Here is a 25,210-nt window from a genome sequence, read left to right as displayed (position 1 = left end):
CTGTGATCCTGGAAACAATTTCGTGTTTGCTGTGCCTCATTCTTTCTAATTTTAAAATAAGGCCATAATGGATATTTCAAAAATTATATAAGATAAAATATTCTAAGAAAAAGATAAATTACATTGATAATTAAATAAATTATATAATTTAGGGTGTTTTGGCCATAAATTACAACCTCATGGGATTCCAAGTAATCAAAACATTTTTCGAGAGACAATAATATCTTAGGTGAGTTTTTGAACTCCACCCCCCCGAATTTCGTAACAATAAGTCCATGAAATAGGTATTATTATCTCTGTTTTAGAAATGAAGAAACTGAAGAAGGAGGTTGAGAAGAATGATTAGAGCAGAAAGAGAGTGTGTGGGTAGTGGTGCTAGTAGAAAAAGAGGGGAGAAATAAAATATAATGGATTCAGAGAAATTGGAGGAGTAAAGAGCTTCTTGAAAGAAGGAGTGTTTAATAAAGTCAAATATTAAAGAAAATTATGTAAGATAAGATAGAGAATTAACTCTTACTTTTGAGTATTAGAAGATTCTGGTAAATTTGGTAACACTCACTTTAGTGGGAAGGTGGAGGAGGAAACCAGAGTTCTAGAAGCAGAGGAATAGTGGGAGGTGAGGAAGCTGATCAGCAAATATGCTCCATCTGGGGAAACCATGCAAAGGTAAGACACAAGGCTGAAAAATTGTGTGAGTGACGCAACTTCTCAAGAAAGTTTTTATTATGGTTCTTATTATTTTTCTTTTTTGTTAGTTTTACTAGTGACATTGCTCTGGGACATTTATGTGATTACAAGCAGGAACCAGAGATGGGGAGAGCCAAAAAAAAAAAAAAAAAAAAAAGTAGTAAATAGGTTTGATGATGGAGAAGGTCCCTAAGTTGGTAGGAAATTATTGAATCCCAAGCCCAGGTGAGATACTTCAATTTCAATCAGGAGTAACAAGCAAAGCATAAAATGTCAGGGGCAGATAGAGATGAACATAAACAAAATAGATTTGGGGTAGACTGGGAAGCTGACTTAGGAAGAAAACAGAAGGCCCAGTCCCCTGGGACCCTATTTCCTTGGGGCTCAGAGTCTGATGTGTCTGATGATACTTTCATTAAACTTCAACAAATGAGGATATTAGGGACTCTACGACAGGATATTTTAGATAATCAGAAAGAATTCTGAGCCAGTGAGGTGGAGACATGCCACACAAGCCATGGAGGAAAGGGTTAACTTAGCAGGCCTAGGTTGCTGAAACACTGTGCATTCCAAAAAAAAAAAAAGCCCTGTCTTTAGGACTGGCTTCTGGGAGATAACCTCTGAGCCCTTAGAAAATAAATACTCCCTGCTAAGGATGTTTTTGTATGCCTGAAAAGTGTGACTAGATATGTTTATCCTAATAATATGATTTATGGTGAACACATATTTTTGTTCTGGGTGCTGGGATCTGAGTAGCTGAGGTCAGTTCACATGAGTCTTACGTGCATGTAGACCTCAAGGCTTAGGTGAGCTTCCCTCAACTGGCATCATTTTGGCCATGGTTGTCACGCATCCCTTCTGGGAGAATTGTATGTCCCTATGTGTCTCCACTGGAAGAACACCTGAAGTTTGCTCCTCCTTTCTCCTGGACTTCACCCCATGTACATTTTCCCTTTGACGATTTTAATTTTTGTTCTGCCATTGTAATAAAAAACAGTTACTATGAGTATAATAGCTATCCCGAGTCCTGTGAGTTCTAGCAAATCCTAGAGCATGAAGGTGGCCTCAGGGACACGCAACTCACATAATAAATGTTAATTATAAATAAATCAACATAATTTACTGTTTTTTAAAAGATGTTTGTTTTTCATGGCTTAGTGAATTGTTTATTTATTATTCATTTATTGATGAAGTGCCCACTAAGGTCCAGGCACTATACTAGGTAGAGAACATAGCTTATGAGCCTATGTCTCCACTCATGGAGCTTGGGAGAAGCACAGAGGTAACAAGTTAAGAAAAAAATAAACAACCTCAAATATGGTAAGTGCTAAATAGTAAATACAAACTCACCAACAGACAGACTGAGATGGGGTCACTTTAGGTGGTATGGTCTTCATGGAGAGAGAACTTGCTGGACAGAACATGCAAAGATCTGGATGGAAGATCAGCAAATTTAAATGCTCTCAGAGTGAGAATCAGGTTAACATATTTTTTTGAAAAGAGAAAAGACAAATTGACTAGAGAAATTAACGAGAGGGTGATTTGTAAGAATGGAAATCATAACTTGGAAAATATTACATATATATATAGTTGGATTACATATATATTTTTTCCATATATAAAAAGATACTAAAAAATATATACGTAGTCGTTTATATATACAAAAATACATGCAGTCATCTATATATAAACATATGTAGTCCAACTATATGTATAAACATATATATAGTCATTTATATATATAATTGGACTACATATGTTTATATATATAATTGGACTAATATATGTTTTTTTCAGTACCCCTTATTGACATGAACAATCTCTTTCACTTTAGTATATGGAAATCTTTTACTTTATCTTTATACTCATTGGTATTTTACTGTGGTGTTTTGGTTCAATATAGTAACTATTAATCATTGCTACCATGTTGACCAGAATGCTTTTCTTTGTATTTGAACTAAATAACACAGAGAGTACAATGCATTTGAACATAGTTTTTAGTCTTTATATTTTCTACTGTAAAGATGATTTGAATTTGTAGCATAGTTCTCCATAGAATTATAATAATAATTTTTCAAAATCTCTTTGGTAAACCCTTCCTATTTGATTTAAGACAATTAATGGATATATAAATCGGATATAAGAAATCATCTAAAGGCTTTTCACATTGAATTACTGTCTTGTATAAATACTTCTTGATATAGACACCCATTAATGACATTCCTCTTTCCTCGAGCACCTGTTCCTGGTAAAAACAAGGGCTATATTGATTTGCTGCAATTTATCTTCTCCCAGGATTTTTGTCTTGACAGTGTGAGAAGATTAATTGGAATTAATGGCATTTGCACAGCTAATTAAAGTCACTCTTCCTAAAGTCAAATCAATTCCTTTAATCAGAAGAGTGACAAAGCTTTGCTTACTTGTTATAGTCTGCATGTAAATGTTCCCTGGATAAATCAGAATCTCTGCAAACATTAGGCACTGAATTCAGTAACTACTTGGGTTGGCCGGGAATTTCTCTCACACTTAGTAATTTAGTATCATTTATACCACTTATGCATATACTATGCATGTTTTAAATTAAGTGCAATAAAACAATTTACATGTATTATATATGTAAATATATAGTATATCTTTAAAAACACCTACATGTATAAATCCTTAGGATAATTCTTAGCTAAATGTATTAGCCCATTTTCACGCTGCTGATAAAAACATACCCGAAACTGGGTAATTTATAAAGAATAAGAGGTTTAATGGACTTACAGTTCCACATGGCTGGGGAGGCCTCACAATCATGGTGGAAGGCGGAGGAGCAGCAAAGTCACCTCTTACGTGGCAGCAGGCAAGAGAGCTTACATAGGGGAACTCCCTGTTATAAAACCATCGGATCTCGTGAGACTTTTTCACTATCACGAGAACAGCACGGGAAAGACCCGCCCCCCATGATTCAATTACCTCCCACTGAGTCTCTCCCACAACACGTAGGAATTATGGGAGCTACAATTCAAGATGAGATTTCGGTGGGGACACCCCCAAACCATATCATTAAAGATCACATAATCCAAGAGGAAGTACGGAATTAGTAATTATTGGTCCATTCAGGCATCAAATCTGTATTTAGTTGATATTGTCTGATTTTATCACATTCTGCCAATTCCTTTCTCCACATTGGCTATATATGTCTGGAGTAGTTGTTCATTAAAGACTGAATAATTTAGCCAAAACGAATACATATTTCTGAGGGAAAATTTAGGCAGATACTTCAAAATTTTGTCTCTGTTGCTGTTCACTGTCAATGCAACAATGGTGTAGCATTAAATACAGGAGTGGGGCAATGAGAAAGAGGACCTGTGCATTTCCTTCTTCATTATGTTAGAAATAATATATTCCAGACAAGAAGGGAGAATAGAGAACACATAAAAAATGAAGCAGGATAGTATTTGGGATGAGCTAAAGACAGTTTGTAATATAAGTGACAGTAATATTTGCTCTGTGATTGTGTAAACATCAAACACTTATCAAATGTCCCTGGCTACGTTTTTGTTTTGGATACCTCTTGGGCACAGCTTAACAGTCTCTTGGTCTGTCCACTAAGCCCAGTCATAGCTGTAATGTTCTCAGTGGGCTTCAGCCTTTTTTAGTACTAAGCAGCTGGCCTCAAATATTTATGGAGCCTCTTTTTCTTTCAGAGCTGTCTCATTCTGACAATGAACACATGCATTCATGTATGTGCAAACTCAAAATGCAGGGAACTAATGCGTCCTCAACAACCCAAACAATGGGGGGCAGGAAATGATAGATTAATCTGTAACATATTCTATAGGCTCCCAAGAAGGGGGACTAATTAGATCAAACACTTTAGTCACAGATACAGCTAGTTCAAGCAAACCTCTGTGAATTGGCTTACCTGCCTTTCTTGCCTTCATCTTTCCAGCTTTTAGTTCTTCACTCTTGCTCTCTGGGACCACTTTTCAATTAACCCAATTAACCTGTATCTCTATAAACAGCTTTTTTTTTTTTTTTTTTTTTTTTTTTGAGACGAATTCTTGCTCTGTTGCTCAGGCTGGAGTGCAATGGTGTAACCCCGGCTCACTGCAACCTCCGCCTCCTGGGTTCAAGTGATTGCTGTGCCTCAGCCTCTTGAGTAGGTGGGATTACAGATACTAACCACCACGCCCAGCTATTTTTTTTTTTTTTTTGTATTTTTAGTAGCGATGGAGTTTTTCCATGTTGGCCAGGCTGGTCTCGAACTCAAGCGATCCACCTGCCTCGGACTCCCAGAGTTCTGGGATTACAGGTGTGGGACACCACACCCAGCCCACAGCCCTTATTTTATACTCTGTGCTCAGGGAATACAGGCTATGATAGTTGTGATGTATGCATGTGATGATGTAATGCTGCAATAAACATAAAATCTCTGTAAAAAATAGCGTGAAGTAAAAGTGTAAGAACTGATCAAGAAAATAATCCAAGATTTTAAAACCACACAGAACCACTACTATAGTTTGAAATTTGTCCCCCAAATTTTGTGTGTTGAAAATTTATTCCCCAAATTCATATATTGATGGTATGTAGAGGTGGGACCTTTGAGAGGTAATTAAGATTAGATAAAGTCATCAGGGTGGGGCCCCATGATGGTACTGGTGGCTTGTAGGAAGAGGAAGAAAGACCTGAGCACATACACTCTTGTTCTGTCTTGCCAGATAATGTCTTCTGTCATGTTATAATGCAGCAAGAAGGCTCTTATCACATGCCAATGTCTTACTCTTGGACTTCTCAGCCACCAAAACCATGAACTAAATAAAGTTTCATTGTTTGTAAATGTCTCCAGTATTTTATCATAGCAACATAAAATGAACTAAGACAACTGCTTTTTTTTTTTTTTTTTGAGGTGAGGAGAGGAGGGGTCATCCCAACATATGGCATATAAAAATAAATAGATTGGCCTTTGAGAATTTATTATTTTTCATGCATTAATTTGGAACAATTCAGTCAATTGATGGTGACAGTACCCTTGGTACATACTTTTGATTGATTAACAATGATGAGAGATGCATTAATTGACTTGGAATCAGGTGATCTCCAGTTATTGAAGCATCACTAATATGTAGATATCATTTTAAAATATGTCTTATGGCATTTCTGAGATTTAAGTTAATTTAATTTCATTACAAAGTGACCTACACATGAAGTAAATATATACAAACTTACAGTTAAGTGTCTAGTATGTAGAAGACATACCTAATAAATGTTTAAGTAAATATTTAAGCCTATGTATTATCAAGTATTCATAATAACTGTATCCTACTGTGTTGTTATCCCAACTGCCTAAACCCAGTAATTTGTACTCCAACAATCCAGTTAAGTTCACAAAGTTTTGTAGCCCCTTGCTCTGATTTTACCTCTTCTAACTATTTGAAATGAGCAACCAGAGATTTACAGACTTATTTTCCTCTCATATAAATAATGAGAAGTCTGTTGGTTATTAAAGCCCTTACTTTCTAAACCAGGATTAAGAGAAAAAGTTGCTATTCTTTCTCCCCAAAGAAGCAAATCTAAAAAATAAAATCTAAAATAAAAGCCAATATCAGAAATTTTTAGAAATTAGCACAGAAACATCAATCCTCCTCTGAGTTTATACTTTGAGTTTCAGTATTGCAGATAATTTTTGTAGGTTTGAGCTGTGAGAAGAATATGTCAATGCCAGTTGAGAAAAAAAAGTTAAAAACAACAATAAAACTACATGAAAAAATCATCTTGATATACTATATTAATTAAAACAATCAATGAAAGAGAGTAACGACTAGAAATTTTTTGAGAGATTAGTACAGGTGGAGTGCCTAGTAAGGTAGAACTTTAAGTTGTGTCTAACTGCTTCCATATATATGAGCTCCTAAATAATTTGTCAAGGCTTCCCAAGGCTGACTTCTGTAGATAATAGAAATTTTCAGATAATGGGAGGGAACATAAGAGTGTCTTGTCTTAGTGATGTAAATAAGTCTCCTCTAAAACTCAAGTTGAAAAGTAATTGCCATTGTAACAGTATTAAGAGATGAGCCCCTTGAGAGGTGACTAGGACATGAGAGCTCTGCCCAAAACTTTCTTTTGCCCCGTTTGTCCTTCTACTGTCTGACCTGTGATGATGCTGCAAGAGGGCCCTTGCAAGATACTGGCACCTTGATCTTGGACCTTCCAGCCTCCTGAACTGTGAAAAGATAAAATTCTACTCTATAAATTATCCAGTCTTAAAGATTCTGTTAGAGTAGCACAAATGGACTAAGACAAAGGACCTCCTATTTTTTTCCACTGGAAGTCAATAAAGGCTTTCTTCTTAATAACTTACATTTAATACTTAGCTTTGAACATGGCATATATCATTTTGCTTAAGGATACCAGGGTATTTCTGTTAGAAAATTGGTTGAGAAAACATATCCCTTCTGTATCCAGCTTCAAAGATAGCAAATTTTATTGGGATAAGCATGTGTGATATGCATCAAGACCCATGATTGGAAAGTAAAAATAAAGCCTTTCCAAAACAATTTTCCCTGACTCACTGTGATTTGGTTTCTAGGACCACATTAATAATGAAGGAAAAGGAGAAAAATTTTCAGGTGTCATTAAGAGGTAGATGGTAAAACCTGTTGCAGTATAATTGAATCCTAGAACGTGACTGTGTGAGTGAGTTTAAAGTTATTACCTTATAAGGGAGGACTATGAAGTTAGGAATATATCCATTTTAACTAAATAAAGCTGAGAATGTGTTTCTTCCTTAAAAATAATTATGATCAGGGGAGGAATCTGTACTCACGCAAGTGGCAGCATTAGGGGAAGAGAGTTTGTCTAGTCACGTTTTCATCCACAGCCCCCTCCTAACTAGAAAGAATGTTTTCCCAAGGGAGATAGCAAGTTTCCACAGAAATTCCTTCTTCACTGCAGAGTCTGAGAGTGTAGAGTGGTGGAGGTAATAGAGTTGGGAGTGGGTAATGTAACATAATCTGGCAAAGGGTCTTGGACTCCTTTGGTTAAGGACCTTCAATTGAGCATTATACTGAAAGTGATATAAATTTTTTTTGAACAACCTTCTGAAGCCTAAGCAAGAGGGTTTGAATATAATTATGCCCTCCCTCAACACTGCATTGCTAGCTACTAGACACAGTTGCCACTGGATAAGCAATTAGTTGCTGGGAAAAACTGGTTCCTCAGCCTGGAATGACTGGCATGAAAATTCTCAACTGGCTTTAGCATAGCATGATAGGAAAGAGTGAGACAGATATTTCTTCCCCATCCTTTAGTATGAGTCAGCTTGAGCCAGCTTGTATATTTGTGACGAGGGTGAGGATTGTAGTAAGAGTGAGGATTGTAGCGAGAGTGAGGATTAGACCAAAATTGTGGCTAATCTAGGCATGCTAATATAGGCTCTGAATTTTGTGGTATCACCAAACACTTTATTTGCCTTCAGATTATATTGTTACCTGCTCCAGGTGCATATATAAGGCACCTAGAAGAGGCCTGGAACATAGTCATTGCTTACCAATTGTTAGTTGCTGTTGAGGGGTGATCACCATTATTTGATGAATAAAAGTTCTCCTCTGGTTGCGTAGAAATGAACTGAGAGTCACCAATCCCTCTTCCTCCCACATGTGGGAGAGAAAGCACATGAGCTGAGCTCCTGCAAGATCACCAGGAGTTGGGCAACTGGTGTTTTTCAGCATTCTTCTGGGCATCTGACATTTCTAAACCCAGCGTATTTGATGCTCAAACACAGAATGTTGATATTGGCTTACAAGGCTACCCCTACATGTATTTTATACAGAGAGAACTCAGGAGGATATTTTGTCCTAGAACTTGTTGTATAGTCAGCTATATGTTGCCCAATCATGTCACTTCTCAGAAGAGGTTTGAGGACTCATGCAACATGAATACCTTATATCTATTGATTCCAACTTGTAGCTGGGAAGGTTTGCTAATATTTTCAGCAAGCTGTTTGGTGAATAGTTACCACTTTCATTATTGTAGGACATATCATATGTCTAAAGGGTAATTATTTCAGGAGTAATAATGATTATCAATATTCATATATTTTATTAGCATACATTGATATTTGGTTTCACACTTGAGAAGGAGGTGCCCAGGATGGCAGTTTTAGCTAAATATTGCTAAAGTCTAAGTGGCACAGAGGCTGGACACTTAAATTCTAGCAAGTTTGCATATAAAGCAAGATATTATTTCAAAAAGCACTGGAACAGAAAAAAAAAACATGATGCTCTCATGAATTAAAAAAATGACTGAGGGCTGACAAAGAGGAAATGGAGAAATTATCTCTGTTCCCAGATTCAAAGGTAATAACCTAAAGGGGAGCAAACTTAAAAGAATGTCTTAAGCCACAATGCAGAAAGCCACTTGGCATTATGAGTGTAATTCAACAAATGTGGAATGAATGCTTGTGAACGTGGAAAATATTAAAGTATCAATCAGACGCATCACACTGCCTGACTATAAAAATATTTTAAGGTTATCATAACCAAAACAGCATGATATTGGTATAAAAACAGACACATAGACCAATGGAACAGAATAGGGAGTCCAGAAATAAATCCATTCACTTACAGCAAACTGATCTTTTAAAACAACACCAAGGATATACACTGAAGAAAGGACACCCTATTCAATAAATGATTCTGGGAAAATTAGATCTCCATAGGCAGAAGAATGAAAATGTACTCCTGTCTCTCTCACCATTACAAGAATCAACTCAAGATGATTAAAGAGTTAAACATAAGGCCCAAAACTATAATACTACTTGAAGAAAATACAGGGGAAACATCTCAGGATATTGGTCTAGGCAAGACTTTATGGCTATGACCTCAAAAACAGGCAACAAAAACAAAACAAAAATAGACTAAATAAAACTACAGTAAACTAAAAATCTTCTGCACAGCAAAGAAAACAATAAAGAGACAACTTGTTGATTGGGAGAAAATATCTACAAATTATTCATCTGACAAGGGACTAATATCCAGAATATACAAGAAACTGCAATGACTGAACAGCTCATCATCACTGGTCATCAGAGAAATGCAAATCAAAACCACAATGAGATACCATCTCACGCCAGTTAGAATGCAGTCATCAAAAAGTCAGGAAACAACAGGTGCTGAAGAGGATGTGGAGAAATAGGAATGCTTTTACACTGTTGGTAGGAGTGTAAATTAGTTCAACCATTGTGGAAGACAGTGTGGCAATTCTTCAAGGACCTAGAACTAGAAATACCATTTGATCCAGCATACTGGGTATATACATAAAGGTTTATATATAATTCTACTATAAAGACACATGCACACGTATGTTTATTGTGGCACTATTCATAATAGCAAAGAATTGGAACCAACCCAAATGTCCATCAATGATAGACTGGAAAAAGAAAATGTGTGACACATACACCATGGAATACTATGCAGCCATAAAAAAGGACGAGTTCATGCCCTTTGCAGGGACACGGATGAAGCTGGAAACCATCATTCTCAGCAAACTAACACAAGAACAGAAAACAAATACCACATGTTCTCACTCATAAGTGGGAGTTGAACAATGAGAACACATGGACACGAAGGGCACATCACACACTGGGGCCTGTTTGGGGGTGGGGGGCTAGGGGAGGGATAGTAGGTGATGAGTTGACGGGTGCAGCAAACCACTATGGCATGTGTATAACTATGTAACAAAACTGCACATTCTGCACATGTACCACAGAACTTAAAGTATAATTTAAAAAAAGAAGAAAGAAAGAAAGAAAAAGAAAACAAATCATCCTGACCACAAAGGGGCTGGGTGAGGTGGCTCACATCTGAAATCCCAGCAATTTGGGAGGCTGAGGCAGGCAGATCACTTGAGGTCAGGAGTTCGAGACCAGCCTGGCCAACATGGTGAAACCTTGTCTCTACTAAAAATACAAAAACTAGCCAGGCAATTTGGCATGTGTCTGTTATCCCAGCTACTTGGGAGGCTGAAGCAGGAGAATTGCTTGAACTGGGAGTGGAGGTTGCAGTGAGCTGAGATCATGCCACTGCACTCCAGCCTGAGCAACAGAGCAAGACTCCATCTCAAAAAAACAAAAAAACAAAAAAAAAAAAAAAAAAAAAGAGAAAGAAAGAAAGAAAATGGGCAAAGGACATGAATAGACATTTCTTGGAAAAAGGCATGCAAATGGCCAACAGATATATAAAAATATCTTCAGCATCACTAATCATCAGGCAAATGTGAATCAAAACCACAATAAGATATCATCACCCCCAGTTAGCATGGCTATTGTTAAAAGGATAAAAAATAACATATGCTGATGAGGATGTGGAGCTTCTACACCATTGGTGGCAATGTAAATTGTATAGACATCATGAAAAACATGACGATGATTTCTCCCAAAACTAAAAATAGAACTAACATACATACCAGTAATCCCACTGCTAGATATTTATCCAAAGGAAAAGAATTCAGTATATCAAAAGGATACCTGCACCCTCATGTTTACTGTAGCACTATTCACAACAGCAAATATATGGAATCAACTTGTGTCCATCAACAGATGAATGAATACAGAAAATGTTGTATGTATACACAATGGAATACAACTTGACCATAAAAAAGAATGAAATCATGTCATTTACAGCAACATGAATGGAACTGGAGGTCATTAAGTAAAATAAGCCAGGCACAGAAAGACAAACATCACATGTACTTAGATGTATGAGCTAAAAAAGTTGATCTCATGTAGAACGATGGATACCAGAGGCTCAAAATGCTGTGTAGGTGGGGGTGGGAGGATGAAGAGAGGTTAATTAATAGGTACAAACATACAGATAGAGAGAAGAAATAAGTTCTTATTTTTGATAATAGAGTAGGGTGAGTATAGTTAACAACAATGTATTATGTATTTCAAAATAGCTGGAAAAGAGGACTTGAAGTGTTCCCAAAACATAGAAATGATAAATACTCCAGGTAATGGATACCCTAAATAACATGACTGATCATTACCCATTCTATACATGTGAGAAAATATCACATGTACTCCAGAAATATGTACAAATATTATGTATCAATAAAATAAATTAACTTCCAACCAGCAGCTGGATTATTAAAATGAATTATTAATGACTTTTACCCTTCAAATAATTCACATTTTGAAAAAGAAAAAAGACATGGTATAATTCATTTTATTTATTTCTGGTATTCATGTTTCTAAAATGGATATATGACTTCCAGCATTAGAAACAGTCTTCAAAACTTTCAACTACCATATCTTTTATGATGGTTATGATGATGATTATTATTTTTCATACAAGATCTCACAATATCACCCCGGCTGAAATGCAGTAGCATGATCATGGTTCCTTGCAGCATTAACCTCCTGGGTTGATCCTCCTGCCTCAGTTTCCCAAGTAGCTGGGACTACACGTATGTGCCACCCATGCTAAACTAATTATTTTAATTTTTGTAGAGATGAAATCTGTCATGGCTTGCCCGGGCTGGTCTCAAACTTCAGGTGATCCTCCTGTGTTGGCGTCCCAAAGTGCTGGGATTGTAGGCGTGAGCCACTATGCCTGGAGCAGTTAATTTTTAAAAATAAACATGTGGATAAAAAATGAATTTAACACACTCTTTTTCTACCTAAGTCCAGTAGTCAAATAAAACACATTTGATCCCAATGAGAATTATTGTATTTTTCCTTTTAGTAATGGACACCCAAAATTACAGAATTCATAAGGACACAGTTTGAAGAATTATCACAAAGCAAATATACATATATAATGACTTTCAGATTTTAACAGCAGCCCAAAAGCTGTCTCTGTGTCTCTGCCAAATCTCTACCACCTACATATTATTTAAAAGAAACCACTATCTTAACTACTTAGAATAGAGATTAATTTAGCTTGATTTTTTTTGAAATTATATATATAGAATCATGTGACATATATTCTATTATAACTGGGTTTGTTACTAAAATTATGTTTGTGATTCATCCATATTTTTGCATGTGTATATTGTTTAATTTTATTGCTTATGGCATATTAGTGTATGAAAATATCAGAATTAATTTATATATTCTATTGTTGATAGACAATGTTTCTCGTTGGTTTTGATGGTGATAAAATATCATAAGTATTTTTTATGTATGTTACACATCTTTTTGAAGGCAGCTACGCTCACCACTATACCACCAACACTGTACTGTTACATATCGTTTGTTATGCATATGCATGAGAATTGGTTTTGTCTGAAATTTAGTCTGCAGGACACTGGGTTCGATAGTAGATAATGCCGAAGACCTTTCCAAATATTTGTACCAATTTCCATGTCCTTTAGCAATGTAAGAGAATTCCCATTGCCTATTTCTTTGTCAGTCATTGTCTCAGACTGCTCTGGCTGCTATGACAAAGTACCATAAACTGGGTGGCTTACATGCAACAACAGTTTATTCCTCCACTTCTGGAGGCTGGGAAATCCAGAAGAAGGTATCAGAAATTCGCTGTCTGGTGAAGGCCTGCTTACTGGTTTATGAATATCTGTCATCAGCATCCTAACATGGCAGAAAAGGAGCAAATACACTTTCTAAGGGCTCTTTTAGAAGGATGCTAATCTCATTCATGACCACTCTGCCCTCATGACCTGCAAACCTCCCAAAGGCCCCACTTCCTTATATCATGACCTTTGGGGTTTGAATTTGAACATATAAATTTGGGGGGCACACAAACATTCAGAACATAATAGTCATTATAATTTATCCTATTCTCTTTTAGCTGTAACATCATTTCATTATATTTTTTCCTTTGCATTTTCTTGATTACTAATGAACATGGGCAAATCATTATATATTTATTGAAGCTATAGACAGTTTCTTTGGTAATATGCTTAGCATGTTCCTGACACTTTGCCATATTTTTTTGGCCTGTCTTTTACTTGTCGATTTATAGTTCTTTATATGTTTTGGATATGAGATCATTTTCATTTATCTGTGTGGAAAATAGTCTTTTTTCCATTCTAGATAGTTTGTGTTGTCCTCCCTTAGTTATGCCATTTGAGCAGTAGAAGATTGTATTGTTATTGTGTTCAATTTCGTATTTTTAATTAATTTATTTATTTTTAATGCTGTTTAGGAAATATTCCCTTACCCCAAAGACTGGCAAAAGGCCATTAGGATCTGTGTATGCTACCCAAATGTTACAAGATGGGACATGTCAAAGAAGGTTTGAGAGAGAGTTCAAGAAGGGAGACTGGCAAGAAAAAGACAGCTATCGAATACAAATTGGGGACTTGAATCTTTACACATTTGATTAGAAGAGCATTTCAGGAAATGGAGATTTGTCAAAATCCTAATTAAAGCAAGAGAACACAAGTTCACAGACTCAGAAAATCGGGCAACAACATGTTAATATCATGGAGCTACATCATTGAGGACCTGATTTCTAAGGGAAAAAAGGAAGGAATTTGTTGGTTGTATTAGACCACTGTGTTATGTGTAAATGGGCAGAGCCAGGGGCTTGGAGGTCTATACTTATCAGTTACCAAACTTCAACTAGTAAGAATGCTGAAAATCCAGTGAATTGGATATTTGAACTGATAATGCCTGATTTTTTTTTTTTACATTGAATAATAATCTTTCAGTGAAATGAAACTGGATGGAGTGTTCATGTGAAATGAGGGAGAAGAGAAATTGAGAAATGAGAATCAGGAGACAACTTGCAAAAAAAAATAGGAAAGACAAAGCTAGAAAGGCCTACTTAGACACCCCAGCTATTCCTTTATACTTCTGAGAGAGATAGCATCCTAACACTAGTTTTGGGAGGATCATTTACCATTGATAAAATAACATTACAATGCTACTGATACACTCAAAACATCAAAGTCAAAATAAATGACTAAAACATACAGCTAATTATATTATATACTTATATATGTATATAAACCATTATCTACCTCTAAAACTCTTCCTGCCTAAAATAACATTATTCACCTGCTGCCTCATTTATTCTCATAAGCATGGTAAATTTGTCACTGTGTATTTCAGTTAATTTCTATCTGATTTTGGTAAGAATCCCTCACATCATAAACCAGAAACTACCTGTATTTGTGTACAACTGATAACCAAATACTTTTGCATTTCTAGTGTAATTCTACATGACAGGGGAGGAGTTTCTCCAGTTTCTCTCTTAGTAATCTGAGGAGGTAGACAGGAATTTGTTATATCCACAATGGTAGAACATCTGTAATTATTCCTTTGCTGGGAACAATGCTTGAGAAACAAACAACTAAAGCCTTCTAAAGTCCCCTACTCACAAATATCCCCTTGTTCTTGTTCATATAAATTCCTTCATTCTAATGACAGGGTTTTTGTACCACCTGTTCGCATTTTGCTTTTCCCTTTGCTGCATTATGGGAAATTATAATCCCTACAATTGATGCAGAGGTGGATTCAGAAAGGGCAACCCTATCAGCAACCAACAGAGAGCCTAAATACTCTATCACTTTCTATTATGCAGGAAGATAGTTTCTCACCTCCTTTTAATACGATGAGACTAAAAGTACCTGGCTCAATGCTTGACACAATCTCAGCATTAATATGACCTTTTTTTTTTCTTTCTTGAGGAATTTGTAAGTAACTGGGAGCCATTAAAAGATGTGAAAGTTGTTCATACAGATTAAGTCATTTTCACCATACTCAATCAGAATCAAGAGGTCGGGTGAAGAAGTACTTGGGGCACATAAAACAGCTCCAAGAATATAATTTTCCGCAAGCTGGGTTGCTGAGACTGCGTGCTGTAACCCTAAGACTGCTTTTACCTAATAGCTGCTGAAATGACCTGCTGGGAGACTCTAAGACTAAGACTAGCTTTTACCTACTGCCATCACACACAAATCAGTTTGCCAAACCCTCAAAACTTTACTAATGCCAATGAACTTTTTTTCAAAACAATACACAATATTTCTGTCTTTTTGTGAAACCTAACTTTCTGTTTGTACTTTGAACATACTGAGGACCACTTGGTCTGTGTGTATGCCCCATATTGCAATTCTGTGATTTACAAATAAAATGTTACATTTTAGAGATTTGTCTCTACATTTTATTTTGGCTCTCTCACAGATTAGTGACAAGGAAGTAATTAAAGTTACTATGTTAGGCCACGTTTAGTAAGTTGTGTTGGAGTCAGGGAACATTAAAGCAAACAACGAAGCAGGTAATAGGGCAAACTACTTGGGTTAAGTGGTAGCTATGGCCACACCAAAAATAAATGGAAAAGAGACATGAAATGCCAAAATTAAAATACTTAATTGAGACCACTGAGGAAAGCAAAGCCAATTCTTCTTACTTGCCAGTATCTTAACCCAGAAATCCAATATCGGCATCTTTATAATGATCAAAACTGCCATTATGAAATAGCTTATAATTACATCTATGATGTTTTTCTTATTTTCATCATTTTTATCATGCTGTAAAGTATTTTATTACCAGAAAAGAGGCACTGTATTTCCTTGGTAGTCTTGTTGTCAAGAAGGCTTCCTTTAATAACTCTTCCTAAACTTGCTTTCCCTTAATCACCTTGTTTGATTCTCCACTATATGCTTTTCTCCTTCAACAAGAGTTGTTCTTGACATTCTCCCAATGAAAATATTAGTCAACTGGGACTCTGCCTTCAACCAGTTTCCCTCACCATCCCCCCTAAAAGAATCGAACATAGGAGATTTCTCTCTATATGGGTATTTCTCTCAGCAGAGTTGCCCATTCATAGTCGCGTAATCATGGATTCCCTCAGTTGTTTCAACTGAAACAAGTACTTCACTGTTATTAAGCATTTAACATTTCATATCACTCTTTGTAGCTCTTATGTTTCAATATAAATTCATATTTAATTTGTGCCAGTAATACTCCCAGGAATTATTCGGTAATAATGTTTCCTGTCTTCTCTGCTCATTGAATATCTATTAGTATTTATGCATCCCTAGAGACATTAGTTTGCATCCTTCTCAGCAGAATTATGTTTTGTTACGTTGGGCTCAGAGTTCTGAGACTTTTGCATCTATTTCAGTTGAGTTTCTCTCAATTGAAGTTTTTCTTAAACCATTTTAGATTTAATATTGTTTGAAAATATCATATGTGTTTTGTATATTCTTTCCTACAGCCCATGCTAGTGCTGTGACATAAAGCCAAAGGGAACGCAACCTGGCTTTCTCCAGAGATCTCTCAGATATATGGCTTTTTACTTCTCATCACCTTTTGCTTTAAATAAAGTAGGTTTCTGCTTTAATACTGTGTGAACAAATATATAGCAAAAAGAAGCAGATGGAAAGATAAAAGTAATTAATGCTTTGGGGTGACAATACTAGCTCATATAATCGTATTCATAGCATAGATTCACTGAGGTCATAACATATGCCCTGCTATGTTACAAGTGCTTTATACGTATTGTTTCAGTTAAGGCACACAATACTTCCATAAGTTAGTAATTCTTCTTATTTCTGTTTTTGCAGACAGTAAATTGAATTCCTGACGGATTCAGTGAAATCTGAAAGGTTATACAACCAATAAGTAGAAGATCACAAATCTGTTTTTTAAATGAATATATCTTTGTTCCTTCATTATGCTGTATGTTATTATTGTATGTTTTGTAAAAATTAAAATATACCCCAAACTGAAAATTACTCCTCATCCTCCCATATTGGAAAAAAGAAGAATAATCACTCGGTTCTGTGGTGAGAATAAAGGCAGCTCCTCAAGTAGGTCTTTCACCTACTGAGTGGTTGCCAAGGTATTGGGATTCAGATGTTATAGCAAATATGAAAGCCGTGTTTTTTCTCTTGTAGTTTGCGATATGTATCCTAGCTTGTGCTCAGTATTAGAGAATATAGTTTACAATAATATATCTTATGGGTCTTTCTCTATATTTGGAAAAATAAAACCCAACATTTTGGCATTTATTAGAACAACAGCTTGCAAGAAAACAGCACCCGTTCTCCAAGAAGAGAAATTGCACAGATTATGGTCATGAACTAGAATTAGATTATGTTAACATCTGGGCAAATGCCAGCCTCTGATTATCAACATCAAATTCCTTTCAGTTTCCTTGTGATCACTCTCATTTTTAACCAATTTAGAACTCAATTTTGTGATTTACTAAAGTAGACAAGCATGAAATGGATTTTTCATAGTAAAGGGAAATTCTCAGTGAATAACAATGCTAAGAGTTGGTATCGCTTCTCCAGATTTGTTTTAACTTCTTCACTATGTAGCCCCTGTCTTGTGACAGAGATGGATATATCTGCTTTTCTGGGCTCACAGTTATGTGCTTCCTCAGCCCCTGGAAGTTAGGCCAGTGAAAAAATGGGTATATGTTCAACTCCGAATAAAAATAATCTTCACACAAGTCTACTTTATCTCTTCTAGAGACCCTGGAAGACGTAATAGACGGCAGGTCATTAGTTGGAAATGGACCATGTCCCTCTTCTGTCTCTTCCCAAAACACACACACACACACACACGAGTGCACACACACATGCACACACAAACATTAGATTGTAATGTGAGGGAGCAATAATGTTTCTAACTTAAGCTATTGGATTTCAGGTGTTAGAGCAGTAAGTTTGCCTGGATAATAGAGTTATTCCAGGTGCATAATGGCTAACAGCGCAGAATTTGTGTAAGATATATTTGAATCTGTACAGTGGCCTTCCTTTTTCTGATTGTATGGCAGTTTATTTAACCTTGCTGTGTTTCAAATCGTTCATCTGTAAAATGAAGATAATAATAACTACCTCATAGATTTGTTGTACATATTGAATAATTACACATATGTAGCACTTAGGAAGTAGTAATTTTTGTAAGTGTTAGCTGTTAAACCATTTATTTAGATATTTCAGTTCATTTATCATGCTTCATTCTAAAAAATACAAAATTGAACTCAACTCTATGATATATCTTTTCCTCAAAACACCTGCTCTTATCATAATGTTTTACAAAAAGATCTAAGTAGTGAAAATCATCCTTTGAAAAGGGTAGAACTGAAGTCTCCATTTGGTAACTGAGAACTTGACTGTGCCTCAGACTCTTAAAGTTTACAGATAATATTTTTCTGATATTTTCTGATTACTACAGAAGAGCTTTATATATTTTCCCTGCCCCCACCCAGTTCTAGATAGCTGTTACTTTGTCTCTCTGGGGCTGCATCTCAGATCTCCTCAGATATAAGAGAATTTTTAGGCTTTTAACTAATGGGAAGACCATATTTCACTGTTCGGTGCCTGGTGTCTTTACTCTCAGTCCAGCTTGTGGAACTCTGTTAAAAGTTGTTCAAAGAATCTGCGGTATCATTACAACAAAGCCTGTAACATGGGATATCTATTATCAATCAACTATCCACTATACATTACTCCTATGTCTTTTTATTTGAACTTTTATTTTGGGTTCCAGGGTGCAGGTTTGTTATATAGGTAAACTCATGTCCTGGGGGTTTGTTGTACAGATTATTTTGTCACCCAGGTGTTAAACCTAGTACCTATTAGTTATTTCTCCTGATACTCTTCTTTCTCCCATCCTATACCCTTGTCTAGGCCCCAGTGTCTATTCTTCCCCTCTATGTGTCCATGTATTCTCATAATTTAGCTCCCACTTATAAGTGAGAACTTGCGGTATTTGGTTTTCTATTCCTGTGCTGGTTTGCTAAGTATAGTGACCTCCAGCTCCATGCATGTTACTGCAAAGGATATGATCTTATTCTTTTTGTGGCTGCATGGTATTCCATGGTGTATGTGTACCACATTTTCTTTATCTAGTCTACCATTGATGGTCATTTAGGTTGGTTGAATGTCTTTGCTATTGTGAATAGTGCTGCAATGAACATATGCATGCACGTGGCTTTATGATAGAATGATTTATATTCCTTTGGGTATAAACCCAGTAATGGAATTGCTGGGTTGAATGGCAGTCCTGGTTTTAGGTCTTTGAGGAATTACCACACTGTCTTCCACAATGGTTGAACTAATTTACACTCCCACCAACAGTCTGTAAGCGTTCCTTTTTTCTGTAGCCTCACCAGCTTCAGTTATTTTTTGACTTTTTAACAATAGCCATTCTGAATAGTGTGAGGTGGTAGCTCATTGTAGTTTTGATTTACATTTCTCTAATGATCAGTGATGTTGAGCAGTTTTTCATATGTTTGTTGGCCACATGTATGTCTTCTTTTGAAAAGTGTCTGCTCATGTCCTTTGCCCACTTTTTTAATGTTTTGTATTTTTCTTGTAAAGAGGTTTAAGTTTCTTATAGATGCTAAATATTAGGTCTTCGTCAGATGCACGGTTTGCAAAAGTTTTCTTCCATTCTGTAGGTTGTCTGTTTATTCTGCTGATAGTTTCTCCTGCTGTACAGAAGCTCTTTAGTTTAATTAGATCTCATTTGTCAATTTTTGCTTTTGTTGCAATTGCTTTTGCTGTTTTCATCATGAAATCTTTGCCTCTGTCTATGTCGTGAATTGTTTTGCCTAGGTTGTCTTCCAGGGTTTTTACAGTTTTGGGGTTTACATTTAAGTCTTTAATCCCTCTTGTGATGATTTTTGTATATGGTTTAAGGAAGGGGTCCAGTTTCAACCTTCTGCATATGGCTGGCCAGTTGATAACTGGCACAATTTATTGAATAGGGAGTCCTTTACCTTACTTGCTTTTGTCAGCTTTGTTGAAGATCAGATGGTTGTAGGAGCACAGCCTTATCTTTGGGCCTCTATTCTGTTCCCCTGGTCTATGTGTCTGTTTTTGTATGAATGTCTTGCTGTTTTGGTTGTTGTAGCACTGTAGTATAGTTTGAAGTTGGGTAATGTGATGCTACCAGCTTTGTTCCTTTTGCCTAGGATTGCCTTGGCTCTTCAGACTGTTTTTTGGTTTCACATAAATTTTAAAATATTTTTCTAGTTCTTTGAAGAACGTGAATGGTAGTTTAATGGGAATAGCATTGAAACTATAAATTTCTTTGGGCAGTATGATCATTTTCACAATATCGATTCTTCCTATTGATGAGTATGGAATGTTTTTCCATTTGTTTGTGTCCTATCTCTTTTCTAGCTTATTCTCCATTTCACTAAGTTCCAGGAATACCATTACTAGGATAATCACATTCACTCTTCTTGGAGCCCACACAATCTGTGAAAGCATGGAAAGGAATTTCTCTAACAAGAAATTTCTCTTATTTAACTTCTATTATGTCACAGAAAACAATTATAAGACATTTTATTTTATTTTTTTATTTCAACCGTTTTTGGGGAATAGGTGTTTTTTGGTTACAAGGATAAATTCTTTAGTGGTGATTTATGAGATTTTGGTGCACCCATCACTTGAGCAGTGTACGCTGTACTCAATGTGTAGTCTTTTATTCCTCACCCCTCTCCCAATCTTCTCCCTGAGTCCCTAAGTCCATTATAGCATTTTTTTTTTTTTTTGAAATGGAGTCTCACTCTGTCACCCAGGCTGGAGTGCAGTGTGCCATCTTGGCTCACTGCAACTTCCACCTCCTGGGTTCAAGCTATTTCTCCTACCTCAGCCTCCTGAGTGGCTGGGATTATAGGCGTGTGCCACCACACCCAGCTAATTTTTGTATTTTTAGTAGAGAGGGTATTTCACCATGTTGGTCAGGCTGGTCTCGAACTCCTGATCTCGTGATCTGGCCTCCTCAGCCTCCCAAAGTGCTGGGATTACAGGTGTGAGCCACCATGCCTGGCCATTATAGCATTCTTATGCCTTTGCATCCTCATGGCTTAGCTCCCACTTACAAGCGAGAACATGCAATATTTGATTTCCATTCCTGAGTTACTTCACTTACAATAATTGTCTCCAAATCCATCCAGGTTGCTGTGAATGCCACTATTTTTTTCCTTTTTATAGCTGAGTAGTTTGCCATCGTGTATATATACCACATTTTCTTTATCTACTTGTTGATTGATGGGTATTTAGGCTGGTTTCATATTTTTGTAATTGCAAATTGTGCTGCTATAAACATGCGTGTGCAAGTATCTTTTTCATATAATGACTTACTTTCCTTTGGGTGGATACCCAGTAGTGAGATTGCTGGATCGAGTGGTAGTTCACTTTTAGTTCTTTAAGGAAGCTCTATACTGACTGTTTTCCATAGTGGCTGTACTAGTTTACTTTCTCACCAGCAGAATAAAAGCGTTCCCTTTTCACCACCTCTACGCCAACATCTATCCTAGGGATAACTGCTTTTCCTAAAGCCCTTAATGATTCCATAAGATGGGGATTAGGTTCAGTAAGCCTTTGGTGGTTATTGTTTAGGGGAAAACCGTCATCCTTTCATACTTTGAACCTCTCTTTGCTAGAGGAGAAGCTCAAGGATTTGTATATGGGCACAAAATAATACCCATCAACAATAAGGACTACAAATTCAGATCCTTTTATTTGCCCACTGTAAGTTGCTTCACTCACTAAAACGATTTAGCTTGGCCTCTTTAAAGTTTGTTGAGTGAATCTAGAGATAAAACCCTGGGCATAAGAGAAAATATGAACAGTTCAACATTCACGGAACTTAGTGCAATGGACAATAAGCTACAAAAGAAATAGGAGTGGTATATAGTAGGGAGTCAATTGATGATAGGTATCCCATATTATAGGCTTTGTTATAAAGTCTATGGAGACTCCTTGAACAACTTTTATTAGGGGAGGTTTGTGCTCAGAATCTATAGAAATATTACTTGCCATCTGTATTTGGGCTTACTTAAAGATCAAGGATTTATTTAGAAAGAGGAGTCTTACAGACATCGTTCATCCCCTCAACTTGCATAGGAAGAAATTAAAGGCTCCAGATGCTCAATGACTTGTCCAGTTTCCCTCAGCCGTTAGTGGAAGAGCCAGGGCTGGAATATAGCCCCCAGATACCATATCTGTACTCATTCTACTTTAAATTGCTTCTTTTACTCCTTGCATCTTCTGAGTTTTATATTTGCACCATTTTCCTTTCAAAACCAGATATGTTTGTGTGAACTATTTAATTTTGATTTTTCATAGTTTTGGTCAAATGAAATAAAAAACAAACAATTCAAATATTAAAATAGGACTTACTGTAGAATAGATTTCGAATGAATGTAAACACTCTATTATTAATTGTAACTTAGTAAGGTTTTTTTGCCATTTTAATTAAAGATGTCCTAAACTGGCTATCTTCAAAATGACTTGGAAAAGTTCTAGCCAGTGTCTTCACATAGTTTTCTAGGTGGAACTATAGAAGTTATTGATTATGTTCCCTTTTATACATTGGAGTTTCTAAATGCATTGCTTTAAAATTTAACACTTCACATTTCATTTGATTTGTCTGTTTCTGTTTTTCACAGTCAATTTTTAACTAATTATTTCATTAATTTAGTAAAGCACTAGCCAGCTTACTCATGAACAATCAATATCCTCAATTCAATCTATTTACAGGTTGTCCAATGAATAAAATTTTAAAATAAGCTGTAGAGTCTACCTTTCTATAAAAGTATATGCCTTCAGTGTAGGTACAGCTGGTGATAAAACAGTTGGGAAAGTTTATTACTCACTTTAAAGACAGTATTCTAAGTTTGTTTCTGGAAATTGAAAATATTTCAAGAATTGACATTTGTAATAATAAAAACAATTATAATATTCAAAACTCAATATTAAAGGAATATATTTCAAAATATCTCTGCTAGTGAGTGCTAAATCTGATTAATTCATATATTAGATTAAATATTTTGATAATATTTAAATCTCACTCAAATGAATTTTTTCATTTTTTTTCTAACATTTTGAAGTTTGTGGCTAATCAAAAAATTGACATCATCAGTGATTAAAAACAGATGGAAAAGTCCATTGCTTCTATTCTGTAAAGCTGGAACAAATCTAAGCTCCAGATGATAATACCATGCTGTACCCGTATGATCAAGAGAGTATTACCTTATATTATTTACCTAGAAAGCCAATTAATGTACTCTTTATTATGGCTATTAATATTACCTGCAGCACATCATAACCTATCTCATAACTATACCCAAACGCAAATCTAAGCACATATCTGGCAATATTTTTCTTTTATTCAGAACAGGCATAGTAGCTTTTTTCATTTCTTTCCATTGGAGCTATGGGTGAGATGGGGGAGGTTATCCCAGTTCCTTTCCTTTTGCAGAGTAGCTATTATCTCACCACCCCCATTTTAGTATCCCCTTTATGTTACTGTATTAATCAGGGTTATTCAGAGAAACAGAACCAATAGGATGGTGTCTTAGTCTGCTTTGTGCTGCTATAATAAAATACCACATATTGGGTAATTTATAATGAATAGACATTCATTGGCTCATGGTTTTGGAGACTGGGAAGTCCATGATCAAGGGGCAAGAATCTGGCAAGGGCTTTCTTGCTGCATCATCCCATGGTGGAGGGCAGAAGGGCAGAGTGGAGAGAGGAACTTGCCCCTTTCTAAGGAACTCTCTTCAGAGACAACAAACCTACTCTCATGAAAACAGCTTCAATACATTCATGAAAGCCAAGCCCTCATGGCCTAATAACCTCTTAACAGTCACCACATATATACACAACAGAGAGAGAGGAAGATATTTACTATAGGAATTGGTTGATTTGATTTTGGTAGCCAATTCTCACAATCTTCCATCTGCAAACTGGCCTAACCAGTAAAGCCAGTGATATAATTCAGTTCAAATCTGATGGCTAGGGATACAAGGAAGCTAATGGTGTAAGTCTCAGTGTAGGTCTGAAGAACGTCCAGTGTCTGAGGCCAAGGGTACCAGTGTCTGAGGGCATAAAAAGATGATGTCCAAACTCAAACATTTGCTCTTCCTGTGCCTTTCTGCTCCATTAGAGCCCTCAGTGGATTAGATGATGTCCACCCACATTGGTGTCATGGTCTTCATTACTCAGTATACCAATGCAAATGCTAATCCAGTCTCTTCCAGATACACTCTTCCAGAAACACACTCACAGACACACCTAGAAATAATGTTTTACCAGCTATCTGGGCATTCTGTGCCCTCTTCTATTGACCATCACAGTTAGGAAGGAAAATTACTAATATGGACAAGCAGAAATTCATTTCCTTCCTGAGCCAGACTCATAGGTTGTGTCTGTTAGAAAAAAAAGTGTCATAAACTCATACCAAGCTTACTGTCTTTCACTTTCTCCCACATATGCCTTGGGTAACTAACTCAACTCAAGTCTTTCCCACTGCAGACTTTACCAGTTGTCACAACACACTCAAGTTTCAATTGCTGGTCTGTGTTTCAAGGTCTTATTCTGTGCAGACAGCCAAAGGGGCGTAAGAATCCAAGATTCAATTTGCAGTGTAGGGTTTAGAAAGATGTAGGAAATTCTACTTAAATATCTGCTGTAAGGCATTGAAACCTACTTTTAACAGAATACTGTATTGGCATAATGACAATTTGATTCTAAAATGATTTGGTATTTTATTTACAAATTGACTATTGTTTCCTATATACGCTAGCATTGGCAA

General features: G+C 36.2%; 1 long non-coding RNA gene across 2 annotated transcripts in view; it reads right to left on the bottom strand.

The window, feature by feature from the left end:
* The window catches only part of LOC105376010 (uncharacterized), a 29,402-nt gene extending 25,863 nt beyond the window's left edge, over nt 1-3,539 (bottom strand). For both annotated transcript variants that reach the window (NR_188504.1, NR_188505.1), the window contains exons 1-2: nt 3,454-3,539; nt 2,038-2,119 (exon numbers count right to left, since the gene is read on the bottom strand). This is a non-coding gene — a long non-coding RNA (uncharacterized LOC105376010). The remainder of the gene's footprint in view (nt 1-2,037; nt 2,120-3,453) is intronic.
* Nucleotides 3,540-25,210: the final 21,671 nt, after the last annotated feature.

This window comes from Homo sapiens, chromosome 9 (genome assembly GCF_000001405.40).
Source record: "Homo sapiens chromosome 9, GRCh38.p14 Primary Assembly".
NCBI classification, from domain to species: Eukaryota; Metazoa; Chordata; class Mammalia; order Primates; family Hominidae; genus Homo; species Homo sapiens.
The sequence above is the reverse complement of the archived record's forward strand: the minus strand, read 5'-3'. Positions and strand labels throughout refer to the sequence as shown.